The 24,982-nt window shown below is 43.9% G+C and overlaps 1 protein-coding gene and 1 pseudogene across 8 annotated transcripts in view, besides 7 other annotated features; one reads left to right on the top strand and one right to left on the bottom strand.

The window, feature by feature from the left end:
* RNU6-68P (RNA, U6 small nuclear 68, pseudogene) lies at window positions 382–485 on the bottom strand (annotated as a pseudogene).
* Window positions 9,131–9,220: an enhancer, noted in NCBI's record as "active region_7703". NCBI's record gives its function as "activates an Ori minimal core promoter by ATAC-STARR-seq in GM12878 lymphoblastoid cells {active_cell/tissue: GM12878}" and the evidence as "EXISTENCE:reporter gene assay evidence [ECO:0000049][PMID:35858748]".
* Window positions 20,468–20,687: an enhancer, noted in NCBI's record as "active region_7702". NCBI's record gives its function as "activates an Ori minimal core promoter by ATAC-STARR-seq in GM12878 lymphoblastoid cells {active_cell/tissue: GM12878}" and the evidence as "EXISTENCE:reporter gene assay evidence [ECO:0000049][PMID:35858748]".
* RUBCNL (rubicon like autophagy enhancer) overlaps window positions 20,897–24,982 on the top strand; it is a 55,362-nt gene continuing 51,276 nt past the window's right edge. For 7 of the 8 annotated variants that reach the window (NM_001286766.3, NM_001286765.3, NM_025113.5 and 4 more), the window contains exon 1: window positions 23,687–23,805. The gene's annotated coding sequence lies outside the window, so the exon portion shown is untranslated. Of the gene's footprint in view, window positions 21,155–23,059; window positions 23,263–23,686; window positions 23,806–24,982 lie in introns of those variants that run through there. The other variant, NM_001286761.2, reaches the window with a different exon arrangement.
* Window positions 21,008–21,147: an enhancer, noted in NCBI's record as "active region_7701". NCBI's record gives its function as "activates an Ori minimal core promoter by ATAC-STARR-seq in GM12878 lymphoblastoid cells {active_cell/tissue: GM12878}" and the evidence as "EXISTENCE:reporter gene assay evidence [ECO:0000049][PMID:35858748]".
* Window positions 22,911–23,020: an enhancer, noted in NCBI's record as "active region_7700". NCBI's record gives its function as "activates an Ori minimal core promoter by ATAC-STARR-seq in GM12878 lymphoblastoid cells {active_cell/tissue: GM12878}" and the evidence as "EXISTENCE:reporter gene assay evidence [ECO:0000049][PMID:35858748]".
* Window positions 23,041–23,140: an enhancer, noted in NCBI's record as "active region_7699". NCBI's record gives its function as "activates an Ori minimal core promoter by ATAC-STARR-seq in GM12878 lymphoblastoid cells {active_cell/tissue: GM12878}" and the evidence as "EXISTENCE:reporter gene assay evidence [ECO:0000049][PMID:35858748]".
* Window positions 23,171–23,450: an enhancer, noted in NCBI's record as "active region_7698". NCBI's record gives its function as "activates an Ori minimal core promoter by ATAC-STARR-seq in GM12878 lymphoblastoid cells {active_cell/tissue: GM12878}" and the evidence as "EXISTENCE:reporter gene assay evidence [ECO:0000049][PMID:35858748]".
* Window positions 23,831–23,920: an enhancer, noted in NCBI's record as "active region_7697". NCBI's record gives its function as "activates an Ori minimal core promoter by ATAC-STARR-seq in GM12878 lymphoblastoid cells {active_cell/tissue: GM12878}" and the evidence as "EXISTENCE:reporter gene assay evidence [ECO:0000049][PMID:35858748]".

The following is a 24,982-nucleotide window of genomic DNA, read 5'->3' as shown; positions in this document are numbered from 1 at the left end:
GGGGCTCCCTAGATTTCTTGAATTTGAATCTTGGCCTGTCTTTCTAGATTGGAGGAAGTTCTCCTGGATGACCTCCCGAAGTATGTTTTCCAACTTGGGTCTGTCCTCCCTGTCTCTTTCAAGTACCCCAATCAGTTGTAGGTTCAGTCTTTTTACATAGTCCCACATTTCTCAGAGGTTTTGTTCATTCCTTTTCATTCTTTTTTCTCTATTCTTGTCTGCCTGTCTTATTTCAGAAAGATAGTCTTCAAGCTCTGAGATTCTTTTCTCCACTTAATCTATTCTGCTATTGATACATGTCATTGCACTGTGAATTTCCCATGTTGTGTTCTTCAGCTCCATCAGGTCAGTTATGTTTCTCTCTAATCTGGCTATTCTGGTAAAAATATGGAATGCTTCAAAGATGCGTGTGTCATCTTTGCATAGGGGCCATGCTAGTTTTCTCTCTATGGTTTCAATTTTAGTATAAGTGCCAAAGTGAGCATGACAGTATATTTTTAAAATCCCAAGTGGTTTGTATTTATACCCCATTTATTTACGGACTCCAGAATTATGAAGCTACTTTAAAAATGGTTAGCAAATTTCCCATATCTAGTTTACTAACAGATTTCAAAAAGGCAAAACATAAACAAAAATAAAACAAAATAATATGAAATGAATATGTACAGTATAATAATGAAAACTGTTATTTAATGTTAGGATTTACTATAGTCATCATTTATATATTAATTTGTGGTATAGCAATTTTTAAATCTTAATGACATATTAATCCTTTTAAAAGTGCTTCCTTCTAGTAATATTTAACATGCCGATTAATGCATTTTAATATTTTTGTTGAGGTTTAATTGATGTACAATAATCAGTGCATAAAGTGTTTAATTTGTTGAATTGATATGCATATAAGCCACTCAAATAAACACTGCAATTAAATTGATGAGTATACCCACCAGCCCCAAGAGTATCTTCTTTTGTAATTCATATAGAGTCCTACAACCTCTCCTTTCTACAACTATTAATTTCCTTTCTGTCATTATATTTTGTTTTTCTTATTTTAAGCATTTTATATAAGTGGAATCTCACATTATGTACTCACTTTGTGGAGTTTATTTTACTACCTTGTTTTTGTTTTCAGATTTATTCACATTTTGGTGTTAATCAACACTTTAAAATTTCTGAATAGTATTCTGCTTTATGGATATACAATTTGTTTATTCATTTACCTGTTGATGGATATTTAGAATGTTTCCAGTTTGGTGCTTTACAAATAAAGCTATAAAAATTTGTGTATAAATCTTCATGTGAACATAAATATCTAGGAATGAAATGTCTAGAATATATGCAAGTTTAAGTTAGAAAGAATTTCTAAAAACTATATTATAGAAGAGGTTGCTAGCAAGATGGCTGAATAGGAACAGCTCCAGTCTGCAGCTCCTGGAGAGATCAACACAGAAGGCAGGTGATTTCTGCATTTCTAACTGAGGTACCCAGCTCATCTCATTGGGACTGGTTAGACAGTGGGTGTAGCCCATGGAGGGCAAGCCAAAGCAGGGTGGGGAGTCACCTCACCTTGGAACCACAAGGGGTCGGGAACTCCTTCCCCTAGCCAAGGGAAGCTGTGAGGGACTGTGCCGTGAGGAACAATGCACTGTGGCCTAGATACTATGCTTTTCTCACAGTCTTAGCAACCTGTAGTCCAGGAGATTCCCTCGGGTGCCTATGCCACCAGGGCCCTGGGTTTCAAGCACAAAAGTGGGCAGCCATTTGGGCAGACAATAACCTAGCTGCAGGAGTTTTTTTCATACCCCAGTGGCACCTGGAACACCAGTGAGATGAAACCATTCACTCCCCTGGAAAGGGTGCTGAAGCCAGGAAGTCAAGTGGTCTAACTCAGCAGATCCCACCCCTATGGAGTCCAGCAAGCTAAGATCCACTGGCTTGAAATTCTCACTGCCATTACAGCAGTCTGAAGTCGATCTGAGACACTCGAGCTTCGCTGGGGGAAGAGCGTCCACCATTACTGAGGCTTCAGTAGGTAGTTTTCCCCTCACAGTATAAACAAAGCCACCAGGATGTTTGAACTGGGTGGAGCAAACTGGAGCTCTGCAAAGCCTCTGTAGCCAGACTGCCTCTCTAGATTCCTCCTCTCTGGGCAGGGCATCTCTGAAAGAAAGGCAGCAGCCCCAGTCAGGGGCTTATAGATAAAACTCCCATCTTCCTGGGACAGAGCACCTGGGGGAAGGGGCAGCTGTGGGCACAGCTTCAGCAGACTTAAACGTTCCTGCCTGCTGGCTCTGAAGAGAGCAGCAGATCTCCCAGCACACTGCTCGAGCTCTGCTAAGGGACAGACTGCCTACTCAAGTGGGTCCCTGACCCCTGTGCCTCCTGACTGGGAGACACCTCCCAGCAGGGCTTGACAGACACCTCCCAGCAGGGGTCCACAGACACCTCATACAGGAGAGCTCTTGCTGGCATCTGACAGATGCCTCTCTGGGACGAAGCTTCCACAAGAAGGAACAGGCAGCAATCCTTGTTGTTCTGCAGCCTTTGCTGGTGAAACCCAGGCAAAGGGGGTCTGGAGTGGACCTCCAGCAAACTCCAGCAGACCTGCAGAAGAGGGGCCTGAGTGATAGAATGAAAACTAACAAACAGAAAGGAATAGCTTCAACATCAACAAAAAGGACATCCAGACAGAAACTCCATTTGAAAGTCACCAACATCAAAGACCAAAGGTAGATAAATTCATGAAGATGAGGAAAAACCATTGCAAAAAGCCTGAAAATTCCAAAAACCAGAATACTTCTTCTCCTCCAAAGGATCATAACTCCTCGCCAGCAAGGGAACAAAACTGGATGGAGAATGAGTTTGACAAATGGACAGAAGTAGGCTTCAGAAGCTGGGTAATAGCAAACTCCTCTGAGCTAAAGCAGCATGTTCTAAACCATTGAAAAGAAGCTAAGAATCTTGAAAAAAGGTTAGCGGAATTGCTAACTAAAATAAGAGTTTAGAGAAGAAGTTAAATGACCTGATAGAGTTGAAAAACACAGCAGGAGAACTTTGTGAGGCATACAGAAGTATCGATAGCTGAATTGATCAATCAGAAGAAAGGATATCAGAGACTGAAGATCAACTTAATGAAATAAAGCATGAAGACAAGATTAGAGAAAAAAAAAATAAAAGGAACAAGCAAAACCTCCAGGAAATATGGGGCTATGTGAAAAGACCAAACCCACGTTTGACTGGTGTACCTGAAAGTCACAGGGAGAAAGGAACCAAGTTGGAAAACACTCTTCAGGATATTATCCAGGAGAACTTCCCCAACCTAGCAAGACAGGCCAACATTCAAATTCAAGAAATACAGAGAACACCAAAAAGATACTCCTTGAGAAGAGCAACTCCAAGACACATAATCATCAGATTCACCAAGGTTGAAATGAAGGAAAAAATGTTAAGGGCAGCCAGACAGAAAGGTTGGGTTACTCACAAAGGTAAGCCCATCAGACTAACAGCGGATCTCGCTGCAGAAACCCTGCAAGCCAGAAGAGAGTGGGGGCCAATATTCAACATTCTTAAAGAATTTTCAACCCAGAATTTCATATCCAGCCAAACTAAGTTTCATAAGCGAAGGAGAAATAAAATCATTTACAGACATGCTGAGAGATTTTTGTCACCACCAGACCTGCCTTAAAAGAGCTCATGAAGGAAGCACTGAATATGGAAAGAAAAAGCCGGTACCAGCCACAGCAAAAACATACCAAATTGTAAAGACCGTTGATGCTATGAAGAAACTGCATGTCTGTGTAGTCATTCATGATACATTATGAATCCCCAATAATTATAAACCATAACTAATGTGAACAATTCAGCTAAATTATAGATGTTATTGAATAGCTCTATTTCAAATACCAATCTCTTCTTTTTGGCTAGTGCTTCTCATGTCCTGTTTAAATAATCTTTGTTCAAATCATTATGGTATTCTCCTCTGTGCTCTTTTAAAAAGCTTTATTAAGTTTCACATTTAGGTCTGTGATCCACCTCAAATTTATTTTTGTGTATGGTGTGAGGTGACGGTCAATGTTCAGGTCTTTTCCACATGGATATAAAAATGCCCAAGTACCTTTTGTTTGAAAAAGCCACTCTTTTTGTTGTTGTTGTTGTTTTTTTTTTGAGACGGAGTCTCGCTCTGTCCCCCAGGCTGGAGTGCAGTGGCTGATCTCGGCTCACTGCAAGCTCCCAGGTTCACGCCATTCTCCTGCCTCAGCCTCCCGAGTAGCTGGGACTATAGGCACCCGCCACCACACCCGGCTAATTTTTTGTATTTTTAGTAGACATGGGGTTTCACCATGTTAGCCAGGATGGTCTCGATCTCCTGACCTCGTGATCCACCCACCTCGGCCTCCCAGAGTGCTGGGATTACAGGCATGAGCCACCGCGCCTGGCCTGAAAAAGCCATTCTTTCTCCCATTGAATTGCAGTGCATCTTTGTTGCAAATCAAGTGGTCATATATATGTGGCTCTGTTTTTGGATTTTCTCTTTTGTTCCACTGGATTATTTGTCTATGGAAACCTTTAACATTAATTAGTCAGTTATATTCCTTTTCTAAGTTTAGAAGGAAGAGATGACCCAAGTTTAATACGTAACTAAATTATAAAGCTATGCATAAAATTTTGAGAAAAGTTTCTGGGAGGTGAAAAGTTGAATTGCATAAAACAATACTTGATAGGCCAAAAAATGATCAGTATGGAAGTATTCTAGTCTTTTCCCACTTTATGCACCCAGTGAAGCAAATCCTGTAATTTCTCATTGAGTTTCTCTCACTTTATCACTCTATGCTTATTGGGAAAGGGTCTGAAAAGTCAATCTGCATAATAAAACAGAGAAGCATGTTGGGAGAGTTTAGGTGGAATTTGAGACAGAGTGATGCTTGGGAGTAGATTCTGGGTGTAAATAAATTGGAGGGAGGCGCAAAGGTGTTGCAGGATAGATGAGCCCCCAAATTGGGGCTTAGCCCGAGAGGGTTCTTGGCTTTGCCTAGGAAGGAATTCAAGAGTGAGCCAGTGGTATTAGCAATTTTTTGTTGAATGGCACTGCTCCTTGATAAGCAGGGCTAACTTACAGTCAGGGCAACCAAAGTTGGCAGCTATGGACTGTTGGCAACTCTATTTATATCCACTTTCAATTATATGCAAATTAAGAGGTGGGCTAATGCAAATTTAGGGGCAGGTTATTCATAACTTTCTAGGAAAGGGGCAGTAACTTCTGGGTGGTTGTCATGGCATTTGTGAACTGTCATGGTGCTGGTAGGAGTGTCTTATGCTAATGAGCAGCTAGGGATCACTTTTCTGGCCATCTGCTGGTTCCTGCCAGTTTCTTTACTTTACCATGGGGACCAAGAAATAAGTCCTGCCAGTGGTCTCCTACTTCAACTAAATGTGGTGAAGTAGGGTAGAGAGTTATGATCACCTCTGATGATCCTTTAAAAATGCAAAGAAAGAGTTTTGGTTGCATTATAATTATTGCTGTTTTTTTTTTTTTTTTTTTTTTGAGACAGGACCTTGTTCTGTCACTGAAGCTGAAGTACAGTGACACAATCATGGCTCACTGCAGCATTAATATGGTTGGTTCTTGAAATGTGTTTAAGTAGATTCGATGCCATTTCAATTTCATAAGAAAGCATAAGATAGAGTCACAGGAATAGAAACTGATTAGGGAAAATTGTGCTGCTTTAAGAATTATGTCCATTGCCACTTCAACCAATCCACATAAGCAAAATAATCTAATCTCATGAATTTTTCAGATAAACATGATTACATTAAATTGCTTTCTTTCCAATAAAGGCTAATTAATACATGTTTTCAAGTAAATTTAGCAAAATTTTAATTACTTTATGAATTGTATAATTAAAAATCAGAAAATGTCATTCATCAGGCTATATCCTCATTTTTGGTTCTGAAAATATTACTACTATATATAAAGAAATATGAGCCTCTCTTGAACTTGACAATAAGCTGAATAAGCTCCCTTCCTTCCTTCCTCCCTCCCCCCTCTTCCTTTCTCACTTCCTCTTTCACTCCTTCCCTCCCTTTCCTCCCTCCCTTCCTCCCTTCCTGCCTTGCTTCTTTCCTTTTCCTTCTTTTTTGATGTTACTGTTAATCCAGTAACTACTATAGTGGCCTTAGAGACTGTGAGACGCATGACTCTGCTGCTGGAGTGTGAACCAAAGAAGCAATGATGGGAATCTTCCATCATCAGAACAGCAATAGTGGATATAAATATGGATCTGGGTTGATAGAGGAGAAGCAAAATGTTTAATTTATACAACATGATCCCATTCCTCTTGGACGTGAACTGAAGAAATAGTTGTGGTGAGCTAGGAAAAGTACGCCAAGGACTTCTGAAGAAGAATCTCTGATTACATCCTAAGGAGAGTTAGCCGCACTTCAGAGCTGGAGAGAAGCACACAGCACCCTCCCTTTGATTGCAGTCACTCCCTGGTCACTGTCCTAACAAATTAAGCTAATGGTGGGGGTAGGGATGCTGAAGGAAATGCCACATCATGTTCCAGATGCCCTTTCTGCCCTGGGGTGGTGATGGTGGCTACAAGGGGGAGGGAATGAGGTTAGCAATGAGAGAGGTAACTGAGGTTGAACTTTTTTTTTAGAAGAAAAAGTTATTTACTCTAGTTTTTTTGTAGTAAGATCTCTGTATTCTGATAAAACTCCATTCAATTTCACAAATGTTTGTGGAGCTCTCATTATGTGGTAGGCTCTGTGTCAGTTGCTGTCGAAAATATAGACACAAACACTAGCTACTGTGTGTTGAGTAACTTCCTGTAAGAAGTGGCACTTGGAGAGTGAGAGACACTTGGGAGGAGGCTCTGGGTGTAAATGAAGCTGAGGGGAGGGGAAATGGAATGCAATAAAGTAAGACTGAGAGTCATGAGTGCGATTGCCTTTGATGGTCCTCAAGTAGTGCAAAGAGGCTGGGCACGGTGGCTCACGCCTGTAACCCAGCACTTTGGGAGGCCTAGGCAGGCAGATCACCTGCGGTCAGGAGTTCAAGACCAGCCTGGCCAACATGATGAAACCCCATCTCTACGAAAAATACAAAAATTAGCTGGGTGTGGTGGCAGGCACCAGCTACTTGGGAGGCTGAGGCGGCAGAATTGCTTGAACTCAGGGGCAGAGGTTGCAGTGAGCTGAGATTGCGCCGCTGCACTCCAGCCTGGGCAACAGAGTGAGACTCTGTTTCAAAAAAAAAGAAAAAAGAAAAGAAAAAAGTGCAAAGAAAGAGTTTTGGTTGCATTGGTTGCATGATAATCATTGTTGGTTGTTGAAGTATGTTTAAGTAAATTACTTTACCTCCTTAATTCCCCCACCAAGTCTTATCATAGGAAGGTAATTCTATTGACAGAAGAGAGAAGGAAAGCTCATCTGACTTTAATACATTACTCAAAGTGGAGCCAAGATTTGATATAAGATTTTCAGATTTCAGATTGAATGCATCTGCTTCAATCACTAAAGGACAGAAAAAGACCTTAACACAACTAACAGGAATATAACCTGGAGAAGTATGAGTGCTGAGAACGCAGGTGTGGGGCACAGGAAAAGGAATATTTTGAGTCTCCTTCCTGGAAAGAAAGTGCTTAGGGGAAGTTTCTAATTTCCAGAGGCTTAGAAGAGCACAGATAAGGGAATGGTGACTCTGCCAGGAGAAACTGACTATTGCCTGACCACTGCTCAAACTAGGGTGAGCTCAGCAAAGACGCAGGGCCCACAGAGAGCCCTTGGTGAGGCACCACTCTCAGGACTTGCAAATTTAAAGGGCGATTCAGGTGATGGACAGGAGGAAAAAGAGAAAACAGAAACTGAAGAAGATGGAGAGGTTCTTGAAGAGGAATGCTTCAAGTTACAGTGGCTTGACTTCTTGATTCTGTCTTAATTCCAAACAAGGTTATCATGAGGATATCTCAGGGTTTTTGTTTAACTATTAAACAATTGATTTTATTTTGATCTCACCAGTTTTCTTGTTGATGTTATTTTTAACTAAAAATGTTATTATAGTAAAATGTACATAACATAAAATTTATCATTTTAAACCATAAAGATACACCCAGTCTTAATTGTGGAATGAGTGTCATTGCAATGGCAGGAAGGATGGGAGAATCCCAAAGCTCCGTGAGCTCCTGCCATACCTCTTCACACCTCCCATTCATGCTGTCACCATCAAAACCGGCCTTGGAGACTCTTGGAACTAATCTTATCCTGCCGCTTACACAGTGGTGTGCTGAAGGCCGGTTGTTAAACACTTATCAGCACCCCACTGTTGTTATCCCTGTTTAAGTCAAACTTTATATTCCTCTCCCCTCCAATTCCCCACCAACCACCACCTCCTCTCCCTCCCCTTTCTTATCTTCCCCCTCTCTCCCCTTTTCTTCTCCTCTTGCTTCTCTTCCTCCCATCCTCTCCTCCTCCTCCTTGTCCTCCTCCTCCTCATCTCCATCATCATCACCATCATGAAAGCTATGGTGTATTCAACATCTACCACGTGCCAGGCACTATCCTAAAGTGCTTTACACATGTTACTTAACTCTCACATCACGTCTGTAAAGCATGTATTTTTTTCCTTTTTTTTTCTCTCTCTCTCCTTTTTTTTTTTTTTTTTTTTTTTTTTGAAATAGGCTCTCACTGTGTTGCCTGGGCTGGAGTGCAGTGGCTCAATCATGGCTGACTGCAGCCTCAAACTTCTGGGCACAAGCAATCCTCCCACCTTAGCCTCTCAAATAACTGGGACTACAGGCGTATGCCACCACGGCTGACTAATGTTTCAAAATTTTTGTAGAGACACAGTCTCACTGTGTCACCCAGGCTGGTCTCGAACTCCTGACCGCAAGTGATCGTTGGGAGGCCAAGGCCTCGTAAAGTGCTGAGATTACAGGTGTGAGCCATGGCGTTCAGACTTAAAGTATGTATTTTGATCATAATAGCTACCATATATTGGATATGTAGGGGCCAAGAGAAAACTTCCCCTTTGCCCTCTGAAGTTTCCTTGAAAAATCAACTTGCAAAAGACAGATAATTGCAGAAGATGTTTACAAATTTATTAATATGTACATTGGCAGAATCACAGAATGATTACCCAACCCCCAGTGGAGTACAGAAGGTTACAGAAAGCATGGGGGCTCAGAGCATGGCCAGAAACAGGTTCTGGTAATAAACCAGGTTATAGTGGCAAGGTAAGTTATATGAGAGAGAGAAAAAGAGGAAGGAGGAGCTCTGGCTAGTAAACGTGGTCTTGTTCATGTAAATAAAACCTCACTGGTAGAAGCCCTCAGAGAAAATAGAAGGTAAATGTTTCTTTCAGATGTTTAAAGGTGGCAGGCTCTCAGTTCACCTTTCCCACATGTAGACCAGGGAAGGCCTGGTTGCATCAATGCAGATTTTCTGCAGATGCAAATCTCCCCCACAAGACAGCTTTGCTGTCTCCCTGAGCAGCCATCTCAAAATATGTCAAAGAAATATATTTTAGGGTAAAATACTTTAATTTCCTTCAGATGTTTCCTGTGTGCTAGGCACTGTGCTAAGTACTTTACATTTATCATTTCATTTATACTATAAAAGGGTGTGTGTGTGTGTGTGTGTGTGTATCTATCTATGCTATGATGACCAAAACAAAGGCTAGAGTCCTGTGTTTCTCTCTCCGCAACGTCAATTTAAAATATTCTCTCAGATCTAGTCTTTTTAGTCTAAAAAGAAAATAAAATTTTTAAAAATAGTCAAATTTATGACTCTGCAACCTCCCTTCACATCGCAAGATTATTTGAAGAAAGGCAAACTGGTCACATTTGGAGAATCTGATATTCTTGGCTTGATGTCAGTCTCAAGGAATGGGGAAGTCAATCCTGCTGCAGACGGCAGGAAAATAGAATTTTTTTTTTTTTTTTTGAGACAGAGCCTTGCTCTGTTGACCCAGGCTGGAGTGCAGTGGTGCGATCTTGGCTCACTGAAACCTCCACCTCCTGGGTTCAAGTGATTCTTGTGCCTCCGCCTCCCAAGTAGTTAGGATTACATGTGCATGCCACCATACCCAGCTAATTTTTTAGTACAGACGGGGTTTCACCATGTTGGCCAGGCTGGTCTCAAACTCCTGGCCTCAGATGATCTGTCTGCCTCAGCCTCCCAAAGTGCTGGGATTACAGGCGTGAGCCACAGCGCTTGGCCAAATGGAATTTCAAAGCCCATTTGGTAACTGAGCACATGGAGAGCCAGATGAGACACAAAGTTCTGAGCTAAAAGAGCAGAGTCTAAGTAATGGTCCAGAACACAAAACGCTCAGAAGGAATGACTAATGACATTGCCACAATGTTCTCTGCCTGAGCAATTAGGTCACCCCAGGAAAACATGTAGCCATTTGAGGATGGAAAGGAGCTTTGTCTATGCCTTACGGCTGCTCCCTCACTTTCTTGCAGGCTCTGAAAAAGCCCGTGGGGGAGGCTCACAAATGATTCTGTCTAGGACTTTGTTACTCAGAGAGCAGTCTGGGGCTCAGCAGCCCTGTTGTCACCTAGGAGCTTGTCGCAGCATCTGGAGCCCCACATGAGACTTACTAAGTCAGAATCTGCACTTTCCCAAGATTCCAGGTAATTCCTGTGCACATTAAAGTTTGGAAAGCACTGCCTTAAGGAATATTAGATCACCAAGGAAGAAAAATGCAAATATAGGCTTCCAACCTGATCATGCCCCACTGTTCAGAGCCCTTAAGTAGCTCCCACTGCCCTTGGAATTAAGTCTACAGCTCTTTAAAGTGGTTTTAGACTCCCATCTCCAGACTTTGCTGCTCACTCTTCCTTCTCATAGTCCAGCCAAGCTCAACTTAGAGCAGCAACACAAACCAGCCAGGCTTTCTTTTTGTTCCATGTGTTGCACATATTTCTGCCAACTCTTACACGTTTTATCACTTTAACAAATAGGACTGGCCGGGCGTGGTGGCTCAGGCCTGTAATCCCAGCACTTTGGGAGGCTGAGGCGGGAGGATCACGAGGTCAGGAGTTCGAGACCAGTCTGGCCAACACAGTGAAACCCCATCTCTACTAAAAATACAAAAATTAGCCAGGCATAGTAGCACATGCCTGTAGTCCCAGCTACTTGGGAGGCTGAGGCAGGAGAATCATTTGAACCTGGGAGGCGGAGGTTGTGGTAAGCCAAGATTGTGCCACTGACTCCAGCCTGGGCGACAGAGCGAGACTCCGTCTCAAAAAAAAAAAAAGAAAAAGAAAAAAAAACTAATAGGACTGCTTTAAAGTCACAGAAATACAACACTAATTAGGGACAATGAACTTTTTTCTTTTTCTTTCTTTTTTTTTAGACGGAGTTTCGCTCTTGTTGCCCAGGCTGGAGTGCAATGGCGAGACCTCCACTCACTGCAACTTCCGCCTCCCGGATTCAAGCAATTCTCCTGCCTCAGCCTCCGGAGTAGCTGGGATTACAGGCATGTGCCACCACGCCCGGCTAATTTTGTATTTTTAGTAGAGACAGGGTTTCTCCATGTTGGTCAGGCTGGTCTTGAACTCCCAACCTCAGGTGATCCACCAGCCTCGGCCTTCCAAAGTGCTGGGATTACAGGCATGAGCCACTGCACCCGGCCGAACTTTTTTCTTTAAAGTCCCCAAGCCCACACAGGCCCAGTGAGTGTGGCTAGTCTCAATACAAGAAGCACATCTCTTCCCAGGAGGGTTCTCAAGCCAGCAACTTCCAACTGATGGCATTTTTCAAGGGACCTTTTTATTTACACTTGGTTTGACATTGTGACAGCAGTGCTAGCACCAGACAGTAACAACTGGTCTCTCGGGAGCCCTTCTTAGCTGACCAAATGTTGTAATGGTTCATTGAAACTCTCTACTTGTCTTTTCTTCTTCAGACAGGCTCAGTGTTTAGTGTTGGACATGATATGTTGTCAGCAGTGTTGACCAGAATGTCACCAGCTTCCTAAACTGCCTAAACTTCCTAGACTGCCTAAAGAGCTTCCACACACCTCTAAATAGAAATAAAGCTTCCTGGGCCGGGCGCGGTGGCTCATGCCTGTAATCCCAACACTTTGGGAGGCCAAGGTGGGCAGATCACCTGAGGTCAGGAGTTCCAGACCAGCCTGAGCAACACGGTGAAACCGCGTCTCTACTAAAAATACGAAAAAGTAGCCAGGCTTGGTGGCGCGTGCCTGTAGTCCCAACTATTCAGGAGACTGAGTCATGAGAATCGCTTGAACCCGGGAGGCAGAGGTTGCAGTGAGCCGAAATCATGCCACTGCACTCCAGCCTGGGTTACTGGGTAATATTTTTTTAAATATTTTAGACTCTGTCTAAAAAAAAAAAAAAAGAAAAGAAAGAAAGCTTCCTCTTGTATGGGGAAAGTCACTACTGTATGTTAAGACTAGGCATTGATTTTCAAATGATTCACATTTTCCATGTAAGAAGAAAAAAGAGCTACGTGTTATCCTCACAAATTTGCTGTTAAGTCCATATAATTTAACTACCAGTTTCTTGATTTTTAGGGTTCTCCAGAGAAATAGAACCAATAGGATATTGAAACTGAGGACTTTTGCTCATTTTGCTTTTGTGTATATATGTGTGTATATGTGTATGTATATATACACAAAAGCATATGTATATATATACATATTATGTATATATATAACTATACTTTCTCTGTATGTATAAATATACGCACATATATAATATAGACATAATATGTGTATACATGTATATGTATATTTGTATATATATCTATATCTATATATTATATATATGAGAGAGAGAGAAATTTATTTATTATTTTATTTTATTTTTTGAGATGGAGTCTCCCTCTGTTGCCAGGCTGGAGTGCAGTGGCACGATCTCAGTTCACTGCAAACTCCGCCTCCTGGGTTCAAGGGATTCTCCTGCCTCAGGCTCCTGAATAGCTGGGATTACAGGCTCCCGCCACCACACCTGGCTAATTTTTGTATTTTTAGTAGATACACGGTTTCACCATATTGGCCAGGATGGTCTCGAACTCCTGACCTTAGGTGATCCGCCCGCCTTGGCCTCTCAAAGTGCTGGGATTACAGGCATGAGCAACTGTGTCCGCCTGAGAAGTTGATTTATTATGAGAAATTGGCTGACATGATCATGGAGGTTACGGAGGCTGAGAAATCCACAATATGCTGTCTGCTAGTTGGAGACCCAGGAAGGTCGATGGAATAATGAAATCCAAGTCTGAAGGGCTGAGAACAAAGGGCACAGTAGGAGATGAGACAAGATGTTCTAGCTCAGGCAGTGGGGCGGAGAAAAAGGGGTGAATTCTTCCTTCCTCTGTCTATTCAGGCCCTCAAGGGATTGAATGATGCCCCCCAACAGTGGGGAGGGCCAACCTACTTTACTGAGTTCACAGATTCAAATGCTGCTAATCTTATCCAGAAACACCCTCACAGACACACCCAGAAATAATGTTTGACCAGCTATCTGGGCATCCTCTTATCCCAGTGACACATAAAATGATCTATCACGTTGATATTAGAGGCATTTATTCACAGCTCGTTAGAGAGAGAAATGGTTAATCCTAAAAGTTTTCAAACTATCAAAAACACACCAGCCATGACTCACAGACTTTATATTTAGCCAAAATTCATTGATTCAACAGATATTTTTAAGAGCCTATATTATGTTCAAAGCATTTGGATAATTAGGGAAAGAAAAAAACTGAGATATTTCCAGGTGAGTCCAGGAAACCACTTGGCAGGTATACGAAATCCAGAAACTGTATTTCATCAGTGCAACCAAAATAATTCAGGCTCTCAGGGTCCTATTAGTTTCCTCTTGCTGCTGTAACAAGTAACTATAAATTTAGTGCTTAAAACAATAGAAATGGCTGGGGACGGTGGCTCACGCCTGTAATCCCAGCACTTTGGGAGGCCGAGGCAGGCTGATCACTTGAGGTCAGGAGTTTGAGGCTAGCCTGGCCAACATGGTGAAACCCTGTCTGTACTAAAAATACAAAAAGTAGCCAGGCATCATGGCATGTGCCTGTAATCCCAGCTACTTGGAAGCTGAGGCAGGAGAATCAGTTGAACCCAGGAGGCGGAGGTTGCAGTGAGCTGAGATCACACCACTGCACTCCAGCCTGAGTGACAGAGTGAGACTCTGCCTCAAAAAAATCAAACAAACAAAACCAATAGAAATGTATTATCATATAGCTCTGGAGGCCAGAAGTCTGAAATGAGCCTAGCAGGGCTAAAATCAAGGTGTCAGTGGGGCTCTGTTCCTTTTGGAAAGCTCTGGGAGGATCTGATTCCCAGTCTCTTCCTGTTTATAGAGGCTGCCCATATTCTTTGCCTCATGGATGGCCTCCTTCCATTTTTTTCAAAGGCAGCAATGGCTGGTCAAAATTTTGTCACAATGAATCACTCTGACTCTGACTCTCCTGTCTCCCCCTCTTTTACTATAAGGATCTTTGTGATGACATTGAGCTCATATGGATAACCCAGGATAATCTCTTCATTTTAAAGCCAGCTGATTAACTAGCAATCTTAATTCTTTTTAAAATTTTTAAAAATATTTTATTTTAAATTTTTGTTTATTTATTTTTAAGACTGCATTATGAGACTGGCCAATTTTTGTATTTTTGGTAGAGACAAGGTTTCCTCATATTGCCCAGGCTGGTCTCAAACTCCTGGCCTCAAGTGATTCACCCACCTTGGCCTCCCAAAGTGCTGGGATTACAGGCATGAACCACTGTGCCCAGCCTAGCAATCTTAATTCTATCTGCGGTTTTAATTCCCCCTTACCGTGTAACATAATTTCAGGCTCCTGGCATTAAAATGTGGACATCTTTGGGGGACCATTATTCCACTTATTACAGGGTCTGATGTAATTGGACCAAACTCACTAGAGATTAATATATAAGCAAGAATGATAATTTATTACTATGTACTATAAAAATATAACATTAGGGGAGTGGAGTAGGTGGGAATGTCCATACTGGTTGGTAAATGGCTTCTCTCTCTCTTTTTTTTTTTTTTCAATGTATTTTCTCTTTTATTCCAACGCTATATTTACTTTTTTTTTTTTTTTTTTTTTTAAGATGGAGTAGCACTCTTGTTGCCCAGGCTGGAGCACAATGGCACGATCTCAGCTCACTGCAACCTCCGCCTCCTGGGTTCAAGCGATGCTCCTGCCTCAGCCTCCTGAGTAGCTGAGATTATAGATGCCCACCACCACCCCCGGCTACTTTACTAATATTTTATTTAGGGTCTTTGCAAACATGTGAATGAGTTAAATTGTTTTATTTATTAATTATACTGTAAGTTCTGTGATACATATGCAGAACATGCAGGTTTGTTACATTGGTATACATGTACCATGGTGGTATGCTGCAGCCATCAACCCCTCATCTAGGTTTTTTTTGTTTGGTTTTGTTTTGTTTTTTTGAGACGGAGTCTTACTCTGTCACCCAGGCTGGAGTGCAGTGGCGCAGTCTCGATTCACTGCAACCTCCACCCCCTGGGTTCAAGCAATTCTCTGCCTCAGCCTCCTGAGTAGCTGGGATTACAGGCACTTGCCACCATGCCCAACTAATTTTTGTATTTTTAGTAGAGACAGGGTTTCACCATCTTGGCCAGGCTGGTCCTGAACTCCTGACCTCGTGATCCACCCGCCTTGGCCTCCCAAAGTGCTGGGATTAAAGGCGTGAGCCACCGTGTCTGGCCTGTCATCTAGGTTTTAAGCCCAGCATGCATTAGGTATTTGTCCTAGTGCTCTCCCTCCCCTTGCCCCCCACCCCTTGACAGGCCCTGGTGTGTGATATTCCCCTCCCTGTGTCCATGTGTTCTCATTGTTCAGCTCCCACTTTGCACGCATGTTTATTGCAGCACTATTCACAATAGCAAAGACTTGGAACCAACCCAAATGCCCATCAATGATAGCCTGGATAAAGAAAATGTGGCACATATACACCATGGAATACTATGCAGCCATACAAAAGAATGAGTTAATGTCCTTTGCAGGGACATGGATGAAGCTGGAAACCATCATTCTCTGCAAACTAACACAAGAACAGAAAACCAAACACCACACATGTTCTCACTCATAAATGCCTTCTCTTTCTATAAGCAAATTTACATAGAAAGTCCACTTTTAAGTAGATGGCTTGGTGAGCATAAAATCAGAGCATCACATTAAGCTGAATGACTTTAATGGCTGGTGAAGATAATTGATGCAAGAGAAGCTGGATCTATAAACTTTATAGAGATGCAACCTCTGTTCAGGTCACAGACCAGTATCCGTTGGTATTCATTGTACCAGTGCATTAGAATTTATGAACCACTGTGGCAGGATAATTTATTGAGGAATTCATTTGTATTTTGCGGCTGCTGATAATTAATAAATTGCTTTGTTTTGTTCTTACTGCTTTGTGGAAAAATCTGAATCAATGAGACCTCTTTTCTCTCCCCTCCTGAAAGACGGCCAGCAGGGCTGGGAGTCCCAAGGGGCAGAGTTAAAGATTTTTGTCTTTAGTTTTTTTGTCTCTAAGATACGGTATGCAGAGAGGCAGGAGTTGCCTGACTGGGAGGTAGCTTCTTCAGGTAGGAGATAAGGGAGAGGGATTTTTTGTTTGTTTGTTTTGCTGGGAAGTTTGAAGAAGGTGTTTGAATGAGGAAGAGACTCTCTGAAAGGGTAGCATTTGGATGCTGAGCCATTAAACCTCTAGGGGCTTGGCAAAGGATCCCTGTACCTACACTGGGCATAGAGTGATAGAACTTCCTAATTAACACAGGCTTTGAAAATGGGAACTTCTGCAGTGATAATGATGGAACAAAGGCCAGAAATCTTTCCCCAGATGTTCCATAAGTACCTGAGCTCTCAAGAAGCTCTAGGGGGGTAAGAGTAAGGCTCTCCAACATGTGGCAGACTCCATTGCTTGTCATTTACTCAAGTAGGAAATACCAGGTCAATTTCATTTGAGTTAGAAGAAATTTTGGAAAAATAAGGTAATGTCACTTTTTTTTGATACCAGAGTTATAGAATAAAATTCATACTAGCCACCTAAGATTTTATCTAAGTCTTTTAGCCTTTCCTTATCAAACAGTCCATGTGGAAATGACTTGGGGATTATCTAGACTGGGCTACAAGGCTACCCCCAAGACAAAGGAAATGTCAGGCACAAAACACTGAAGTATAGGGTCAACACTAGGAAGTACATGTGAAGAATATAAGATGTGGTCAATGACTTGGGGTACGAGGGTAGGAAAATGGAGAATATTCCCAGAACAATTGGTAGCTATTGTGGATTTTAGGGTATTTGAGGCAGGCTTGAAAGAAGAGACTGAAAATTAGGTTGAAATTTCAGACAACACTATAAATGTTAGACGAAGACTTTGAACTTTGGACATATTAACTGTTTCCAAGCATGGGATAATCTTAGTTTAACGTCTTTCTGTTTTGCAGGATGGCATTCAAATCATACCGCACAAGCCATGAGAGCAGTTAAAAACATTTACAAAACACCTAAAATATATAAAGTACATGGCTAGGTTCTGGATGGGGGATGGGGAAGAAATTCAAGAATGAGTAAGGTTTTCCTGGCTCCACAACCCAGTGGGCAAGACAGAATACAAACAACTTAATGTTTTTAGTTCTAACGGTAGATTGCCATTGCACTCATGTGGAACCATGGATTTTATCTATACCACATTGTTAGTCATAAAAGTAGACCACAAGACAGGTGCAGCTTCTAGTTCTACTAGTCCAGCTAAGAGCATCTTCAAAGAGGAAAAGTGGCAACTGTGTACTGAAGACACCGGAGGAAGGACTAAAAGTCAAAGGTTACTTCTTGTTATCTGTCAGACCAAGAGCACATCCCCTCATACAGTCATTTTCAGGAACAGGCTTACCCTGGGGATAATGGTCAGCCTGAAGCTATGGGATGGTCCTAACTGGTCATCTTGGCTGCTGGAAGCAAATAGTCAGTTGGGTCTATAATCCTTTTAATTTCTTCAATTTCTCTCTCTCTCTCTCTCTCTCTCTCTCTCTCTCTCTCTCTCATTCCCTCCCTTTCCTTCTCCCTCTCTCTTTGTAAATAGTGCATAGATTTAATATCAAAGGTGTCGACGAAAAGAGTCAAACTCTATAAAATATTTGAAGAGATTTATTCTGAGCCAAATATGAGTGACCATGACCAGTGACACAGCCCTCAGGAGGTCCTGAGAACATGTGTCCAAGGTGGTCAGGGCCCAGCTTGGTTTTATACATTTTAGAGAGGCATGAGACATCCATCAAATACACTGAAGAAATAGTTGGTTTGGTCCGGAAAGGCGGGACAATTCAAAGCCGGCGGTGGTGGGGCTTCCAGGTTATAGGGGAATTTAAACATTTTCTGGTTGACAATTGATTGAGTTTGTCTAAAAACCTGGGATTCATAAGAAGGGAATGTTCAGGTTAAGATAAAAATTGTGGTGACCAAAGTTGTTTTGAAGTCTTATAGTGTCTGCCCTTAGAGACAATAGATGACAAATGTTTCCTATTCAGATCCTAGTTAATCTCTTTAGATTGGGAGGGTCTGGAAGAAAAAGATCTAGCTATTTTAATAGAGATCTTTTACAGATGTAAATTTTCCCCCACAAAGAACAGCTTTGCAGGGTCATTTCAAAATATGGCAAAGAAACACGTTTTGGGGTAAAATATTTTGATTTTCTTCCTTGTCTCGTGATGTTATGCCAGAGTCAGATTGGAAAGTAAGTCACGACATACAGGGTTAAATAAAACCCATCTGATGAGAATTTATGATTTGTAGGGCATGACTCCCCAGACCGCTTAGATAGGAATTTAGGCAAGAAAAAAAAATGAGTTTAGTCCTCAAAGGTAAAGAGTCCCTTTTAGGGCCACATCTCTGACTATGCCACCACAAACCCCCAGCTACTTAACACCAGCTGGATCAGAGAGTAAAATGGCAGAACTACTCTTCCTTCTGAATAAGGAGCTGCAACAACCCAAAAGCTGGGCCCTGGGCACCCCTAAATGGAAAGAAAAATAAATTAAGATTTATTTATTTATTTGATTATTTTGAGACAGAGTCTTGCTCTGTTGCTCAGGCTGGAGTGTAGTGGCACTATCCTGGCTCACTGCAACCTCTGCCTCCCGGGTTCAAGCGATTCTCCTGCCTCAGCCTACCAAGTAGCTGGGATTACAGGCATCTGCCACCATGCCCAGCTAATTTTTGTATTTTAGTAGAGGTGGAGTTTCACCATGTTGGCCAGGCTGGTCTGGAACTCCTGACCTCAAGAGATCCACCCACCTCCACCTCCCAAAGTGCTTGGATTACAGGTGTGAGCCACCATGCCTGGCAAAGATTTATTAACATTCATAGAGCCAGGCGTAGTGGTTCATGCCTGTAATCCCAGCACTCTGGGAGGCCAAGGTGGGAGGATTGTTTGAGCCCAGGAGTTCAAGACCAGCCTGAGAAACATAGGGAAACCCTCATCTCTACAAATAACTTAAAAAATTTAGCTGGGTGTGGTGCTGTTTGCCTGTAGTCCCAATTATTAGGGAGGCTGAGGTGGGAGGATCACCTGAGCCTGGGAGGTTGAGGCTGCAGTGAGTCATGATCATGCCACTGCACTCAGGCTGGGCAACAGAGCAAGAACCTGTCTCAAAAAAAAAAAATTAAAAGCAAAAAGGCTGGGTGTGGTGGCTCACACCTGTAATCCCAGCACTTTGGGAGACCAAGGCAGGCAGATCACCTGTGGTCAGGAGTTCGAGACCAGCCTGGCCAACATGGTGAAACCCCATCTCTACTACAAATACAAAAATTAGCTGGGTGTGGTGGTGCATGCCTGTAATCCTAGCTAGTTGGGAGGCTGAGGCACAGGAATTGCTTGAACCTGGGAGGTAGAGGTTGCACTGAGCCGAGATCATGCCACTGCACTCCAGCCTGGGTGACAGAGTGAGACTCCATCTCAAAAATAAATAAATAAAAATTAAAAAGAGAAATGAACAAAAATTCAAGTGAAGAATTTCCAGATGTAGGGGCCCTGTCAGCTGATTGCTTTCACCTGGGCTTTTACTCCAAAGAAGTATTACATCATGATAATACATTTATATTTTTTACATATATATGTATATATAAAATATATAAATAATATATACATATATACATACACCATACACATAAATATTTGTGGTAAAATATAACAAAATGTATTATCATAACCATTTTTCAGTGTACAATTCAGTGGCATTAAGTACATTTACAGCATTGTGCAACTATCACTACAATCTCTCTCCAGAACTTTTTCATCAACCAGACAGAAAATCTGTGTCCATCAAGCAATAACTCTGTATTCCCCATCCTGCCAGGCCCTGCCAACTTCTGTTCTACTTTCTGTCTCTATGAATTTGTCTCTTCTAGGCTCCTCATGCAAGTGGGTTCACACAGATGTGTCCTTTTGCAGACAGTGGCTGTTAAGTCAGGCAAGGAGGAAGAGAAACAGCCAAGCCAAATGCAGCTTTCCTCGGTTCTTTCCTTCCCTGGTGCTTGTCTGGGCTTCTCTCCCATGCAAAATCATCAGTCTTTCTTCCTGGGACTTCTATGTGGTGAAGATGCCATTAGGCACCCTCTGGTAGCTTATAATGCAGTTCATTTCATCTCATTTCCTTCCTGTTTTGTACAGAGACTGGTTTCCCCTTTGCTGACTGTCAGCTGAGTTCAAAACTGGGGTCAAAGCTCTGCTCACAGCACAAATCACTTCTTGTGAAGCCTGGCTGGGTTTTGGCAGGCAGCTGCTAGGCTTTCGGTCTTTTATGAGGCTATCCTGGCCACAATGGAGCTTTGTGTGTGATCAATGGGTGCTGGGCATGAGCCCGGCTGGGCTAGCTGACACAGTGAGTTGTCCCTGACACTCATGACTTTCAAGCCCTGTGTCTTGGAGGGCACTGTGATCTGGAAGTTCACCTTCCCCATGAAAAAACCCAAACCAGCCTCTCCTTTTCCTGCATGGTGATCCGTCTGTAATGATCAGTGACATTCTCAGAATTAACCAATCAGGAAATTCTTGGAAAGTCCACGCCTCAGCATTTAGTGCTTGGGAAATTCTACTTCCAGATCCCAGAGGGGACAGAGCAGATTTCCAGTGAGCATTCCTAACTTGAAAAACCTGTCCTTGAATGTTTCTCCTTAGTCCTAGAGATGCTCTTTCAGAATGTGAACCTCCTGCGTCTGTGACGAGATGTAGAAGGTCTATACTCAGAGTTAGTAGGATGTCCACGTGATAGTGCCTAGGCCTGCCTTATGGCAGTTTTGAGAAAGGTGATTTCAGAGTGGCTTCAGAGGGGATGACTAAAGCCCACAATCTTGGTCCAAAATATCCTAATCTCCCTACAAAAACGATTTTCTTGCCTTGGACTATGTCCAGTCTGCCAACTAGTACAGCTGTTTCTGGTTTTTGACTCACTGATTTACCTGGCATGACATTTCCTCTTGTTTCAAGATTCTTTCTCTAAGTTCCTCCTGACTCCTCTTTCCCTTTAAGTATTCCTGAAACTGGCTCTTGCCTGGTCCCTTTATTTCATTATTCTTCCATCTTGCTGGTAGTATGGTGGAAATTGGACATAGGGTTTGGTGTCAGATACACCTGCCTTCAAAGCCTAACTGTGCTACCTATTAGCTCTGTGACCTTGGGCAAGTTATTTGAACCTAAGTCATAGATTTCCCCCTTGCGAAATGGGAACAAATGATTTGTTATTCTCAGGGATGTTCACAGACTTGCTTAAAATAATAAGAAAAAGTACCTGGCACATAGCCGATACTCAAAAAATGTTAGCACACACCCACACCTTTTTCTTTCTGATTCATTTAAGGTAAGCCCTTCCCAATCGGCCTTCAGCTGACCTGAATTCCTGGGATACTGTATTTGGAATTTTAAATATTCCAAATATCCAGAGTTCTTGCAGGTCAAAGCTGGTCTATGCTCCAAACAGGCTGCCCCCAAGGGAAGCAGGGTAATTGGCAGCTAGTATTCATCTGACTTTTGTCATATTGATTCAATATTTTATCTGAAGATGGCAGCAACTAGTACATGGTGCCACCGTTTAGCCACTCCATGCCAGAGGTACCAGGCAAGTAAAAGCCAAATTACCAGTGCCTCTGCTCCATCCTGGAAATGACAAAGGACAAAGCCAAGGAACCCAGGAAAGTGCAACGGGATTTGGTTTTATGCAGCAGGGAATCTTCTAAGAAAGCCAGGACCGGTTCACCTACGTGTCATTACCAGTGCAGGCAGCTCAGAGGTCCTTCCCCGGGAGAAGTCAGGGCACCGCGAGAGAGAGCTTAGCTTCCTTCCTTCCTCCATCCCTCCCTCCCTTCCTTCTGGGACTTAGGTTCCTTCCTTCCTTCCTTCCTTTCTACTTTTCTTTCCTTCCTTCCTTCCTTGGCTTTGGTTCCTTCCTTCCTTCTACCTTCCTTCCTTCCTTCTTTCCTTCCTTCCTGGGCTTAGGTTCCTTCCTTCCTTGGCTTAGATTCCTTCCTTCCTTCGCCCTTCCTTCCTTCCTTTCTTTGCTTTCCTTCCTTCCTTCCTTCCTTGGCTTAGGTTCCTTCCTTCCTTCCTTCCTTCTTCCCTCCCTCCCTCCCTTGGGTTCCTTCCTGCCTGCCTGCCTGCCTTCCTCCCTCCCTCCCTCCTTCCCTTCTTCTCCTTTCTGTTTTTTTTTTTTTTTTTTTTTGACAGTCTTGCTCTGTCGCCCAGGCTGGAGTGCAATGGCGCGATCTCGGCTTACTGCAACCTCCGCCTCCCGGGTTGCTCCTGCTTCAGCCTCCCTAGTAGCCGGCATAACAGGCACCCGCCACCACGCTCGGCTAATTTTTATATTTTTAGTAGAGACAGGCTTTCACCATGTTGGCCAGGCTGGTCTCGAACTCCTAACCTCAAGTGATCCATCCGACTTGGCCTCCCAAAGTAGGTGCTGGGATCACAGGCTTGAACCACCGCACCCGGCCAGAGCTTAGGTTTCTATTCGTGACAACTTTCTGTATTGGTTGGCAGGTTCTCCTAGCACCACCATGATCTCAGGACTAACCACTGCACACCCGTGATGGGATTCCAAACCTTCGCTGCAAGAGGACAAGGTGACGAGTTGCTGACAGTGAAGGCTAAACTAACGCGGACAGTGAAGTGCTACATGAGTCGGACTCAGACTCCAGGTGAAGCAGCCAGCAGAGGTCAGAGAGAGACAGCTCACGTTCCGGGTAAGTTGCAGGTCGATTTCAGGGCCGACTCATCCAGATTACTCATTCTTCATTTCAGGCAATTGTATGACTGCTAAATACTGCTGCTGGGGGCATCTGGGGTTGGGAAGTCATTTCTGCCAGGTCTTTGACCCCTGAAAGCGTCGTTGCGTCTCGCGCCGCGGGTAGGCAGGGCGGGATTTCTAGGAGGACCGGCAGAGGCGCGCATAGGTGCGTGGTGCTGGGCCCGGGCGCCGCGGCACCGGTGTAGGAGCGCGCATCTCCAGAGTTTCTTCCATCTGGGCGACGTCTCGGTGCCTGCGGCGGGAACGGCGCTTTGCTTCCCTGAGGAGCTTCTAGAGAGCTACGGTGGCCCCCGTGTGGGAGGCGGGGGGCGTGGCGGCGTCGGGGCGTCGCTGTCCCCTCCTCGGTAGCTCTCCTCCCTCCCCTTTCTGCTGTTACCGGGAGCGCGGTGGCCACGGAACGCTGCCCGGAGCCGCGCGAGGGAGGACCCGACGCGCGGCGTTTACCCAGCGCAGCGTTCCACCGCTCGGGTTTGGCTGGGTGAGGCTGGCGGGGCCGGGGGCGAGATGGGAGCGGCGCGGGGTGGAGAGGGTGGTTGGAGAAAGGGAAGGGAGGGCCGCGGGAGAGGTTGGATGGTGGAAGTGGCGCCAGAGAGGTTTGTGCCCAGCAGAGACACCCAGGTATCTTAGGGTCGCTCAGAGCAGTGTCGGGGACCCCTTGGAGACAGTAGGAAGGGGCTCCTCGCGGGGTGGCGGATTTCTATCCGGTTGACTTTGTAGAGTGAGGTTGACCCTGTGTTCGGCTTGGGCCGGGAAGGGCGCAGAAGCGGGACCTCAGGACACTTTTACGCAGGGCGATTCTCAGAGACTACAAAGCCTGCGCCCTGCGTCCTCCCAGGCGCAGTGTTCTGGGATCAGTGTCTTTTCTCTGTTTTCGTCCTCAACACAGCCAAAGTCGTGGATATGTGGTGACAGAAAAACATTTGGCTACATAACTGAGCTAGGCTGGAGTGTGAAATCGCGGCGTGTTATTTGGTCCGGGCGCCCTACATAGCAACCCCCACTCTTCTCGCCCCCAACCCCCCGCCACGCCGGACACGGTCAGGCGGGCGTTCCCCCAACCCGCCCCTTGTGAAGTCCACCTGCTGAGACTGATACAGATCCCCTGCGAACTTGATGCTGTCCGCTTGGAAAACGTGGAGAACTTTCAGAGGAGGGGTTATTTCGCCTTGAGTGAAAATTAAGACTCAAAGGAAAAGGTATACTCAAGAGCTGCCCTTACTGGGTTATTTCTGTGGAATTTGGAAGGATCTTTGAATTGAAGATGTGGTGGGAGCGCGCAGAGAACAGAGAATCCGTAAGCTTGAGTTTCTTAGACCCAGTTTCTTAAAGCCAAAGTAGCGGGGAGATCTTGGCAAGTCAAGAAACCTTCTTGAACTTCAGTTCCCTTGCCTCAGGGGGAGAATACTCCAGCCATACCCCACTGTGTGGTTTAGAAGGTTAATGGCCTGGAGGGAGGGAAGTGTTTTGAAGCCTATAAAGTATCCTGTGAAGGTATCACCACATTGCTGCCCACTGAAACACTGCCGGCCGCCGACAGAACTTTGTTTGGAGCCGAGTTAAGACAGCATCTTTATGGCAGTGCTGGGGTTTTCGTGATTACCGGTCCAGAGTGTCAGGACACCTCTGTTTCTCAAACCCCAGTTTCTGCACTGCCA

Source organism: Homo sapiens, chromosome 13, assembly GCF_000001405.40.
Source record: "Homo sapiens chromosome 13, GRCh38.p14 Primary Assembly".
In the NCBI taxonomy this organism is placed as follows: domain Eukaryota; kingdom Metazoa; phylum Chordata; class Mammalia; order Primates; family Hominidae; genus Homo; species Homo sapiens.
The sequence above is the reverse complement of the archived record's forward strand: the minus strand, read 5'-3'. Positions and strand labels throughout refer to the sequence as shown.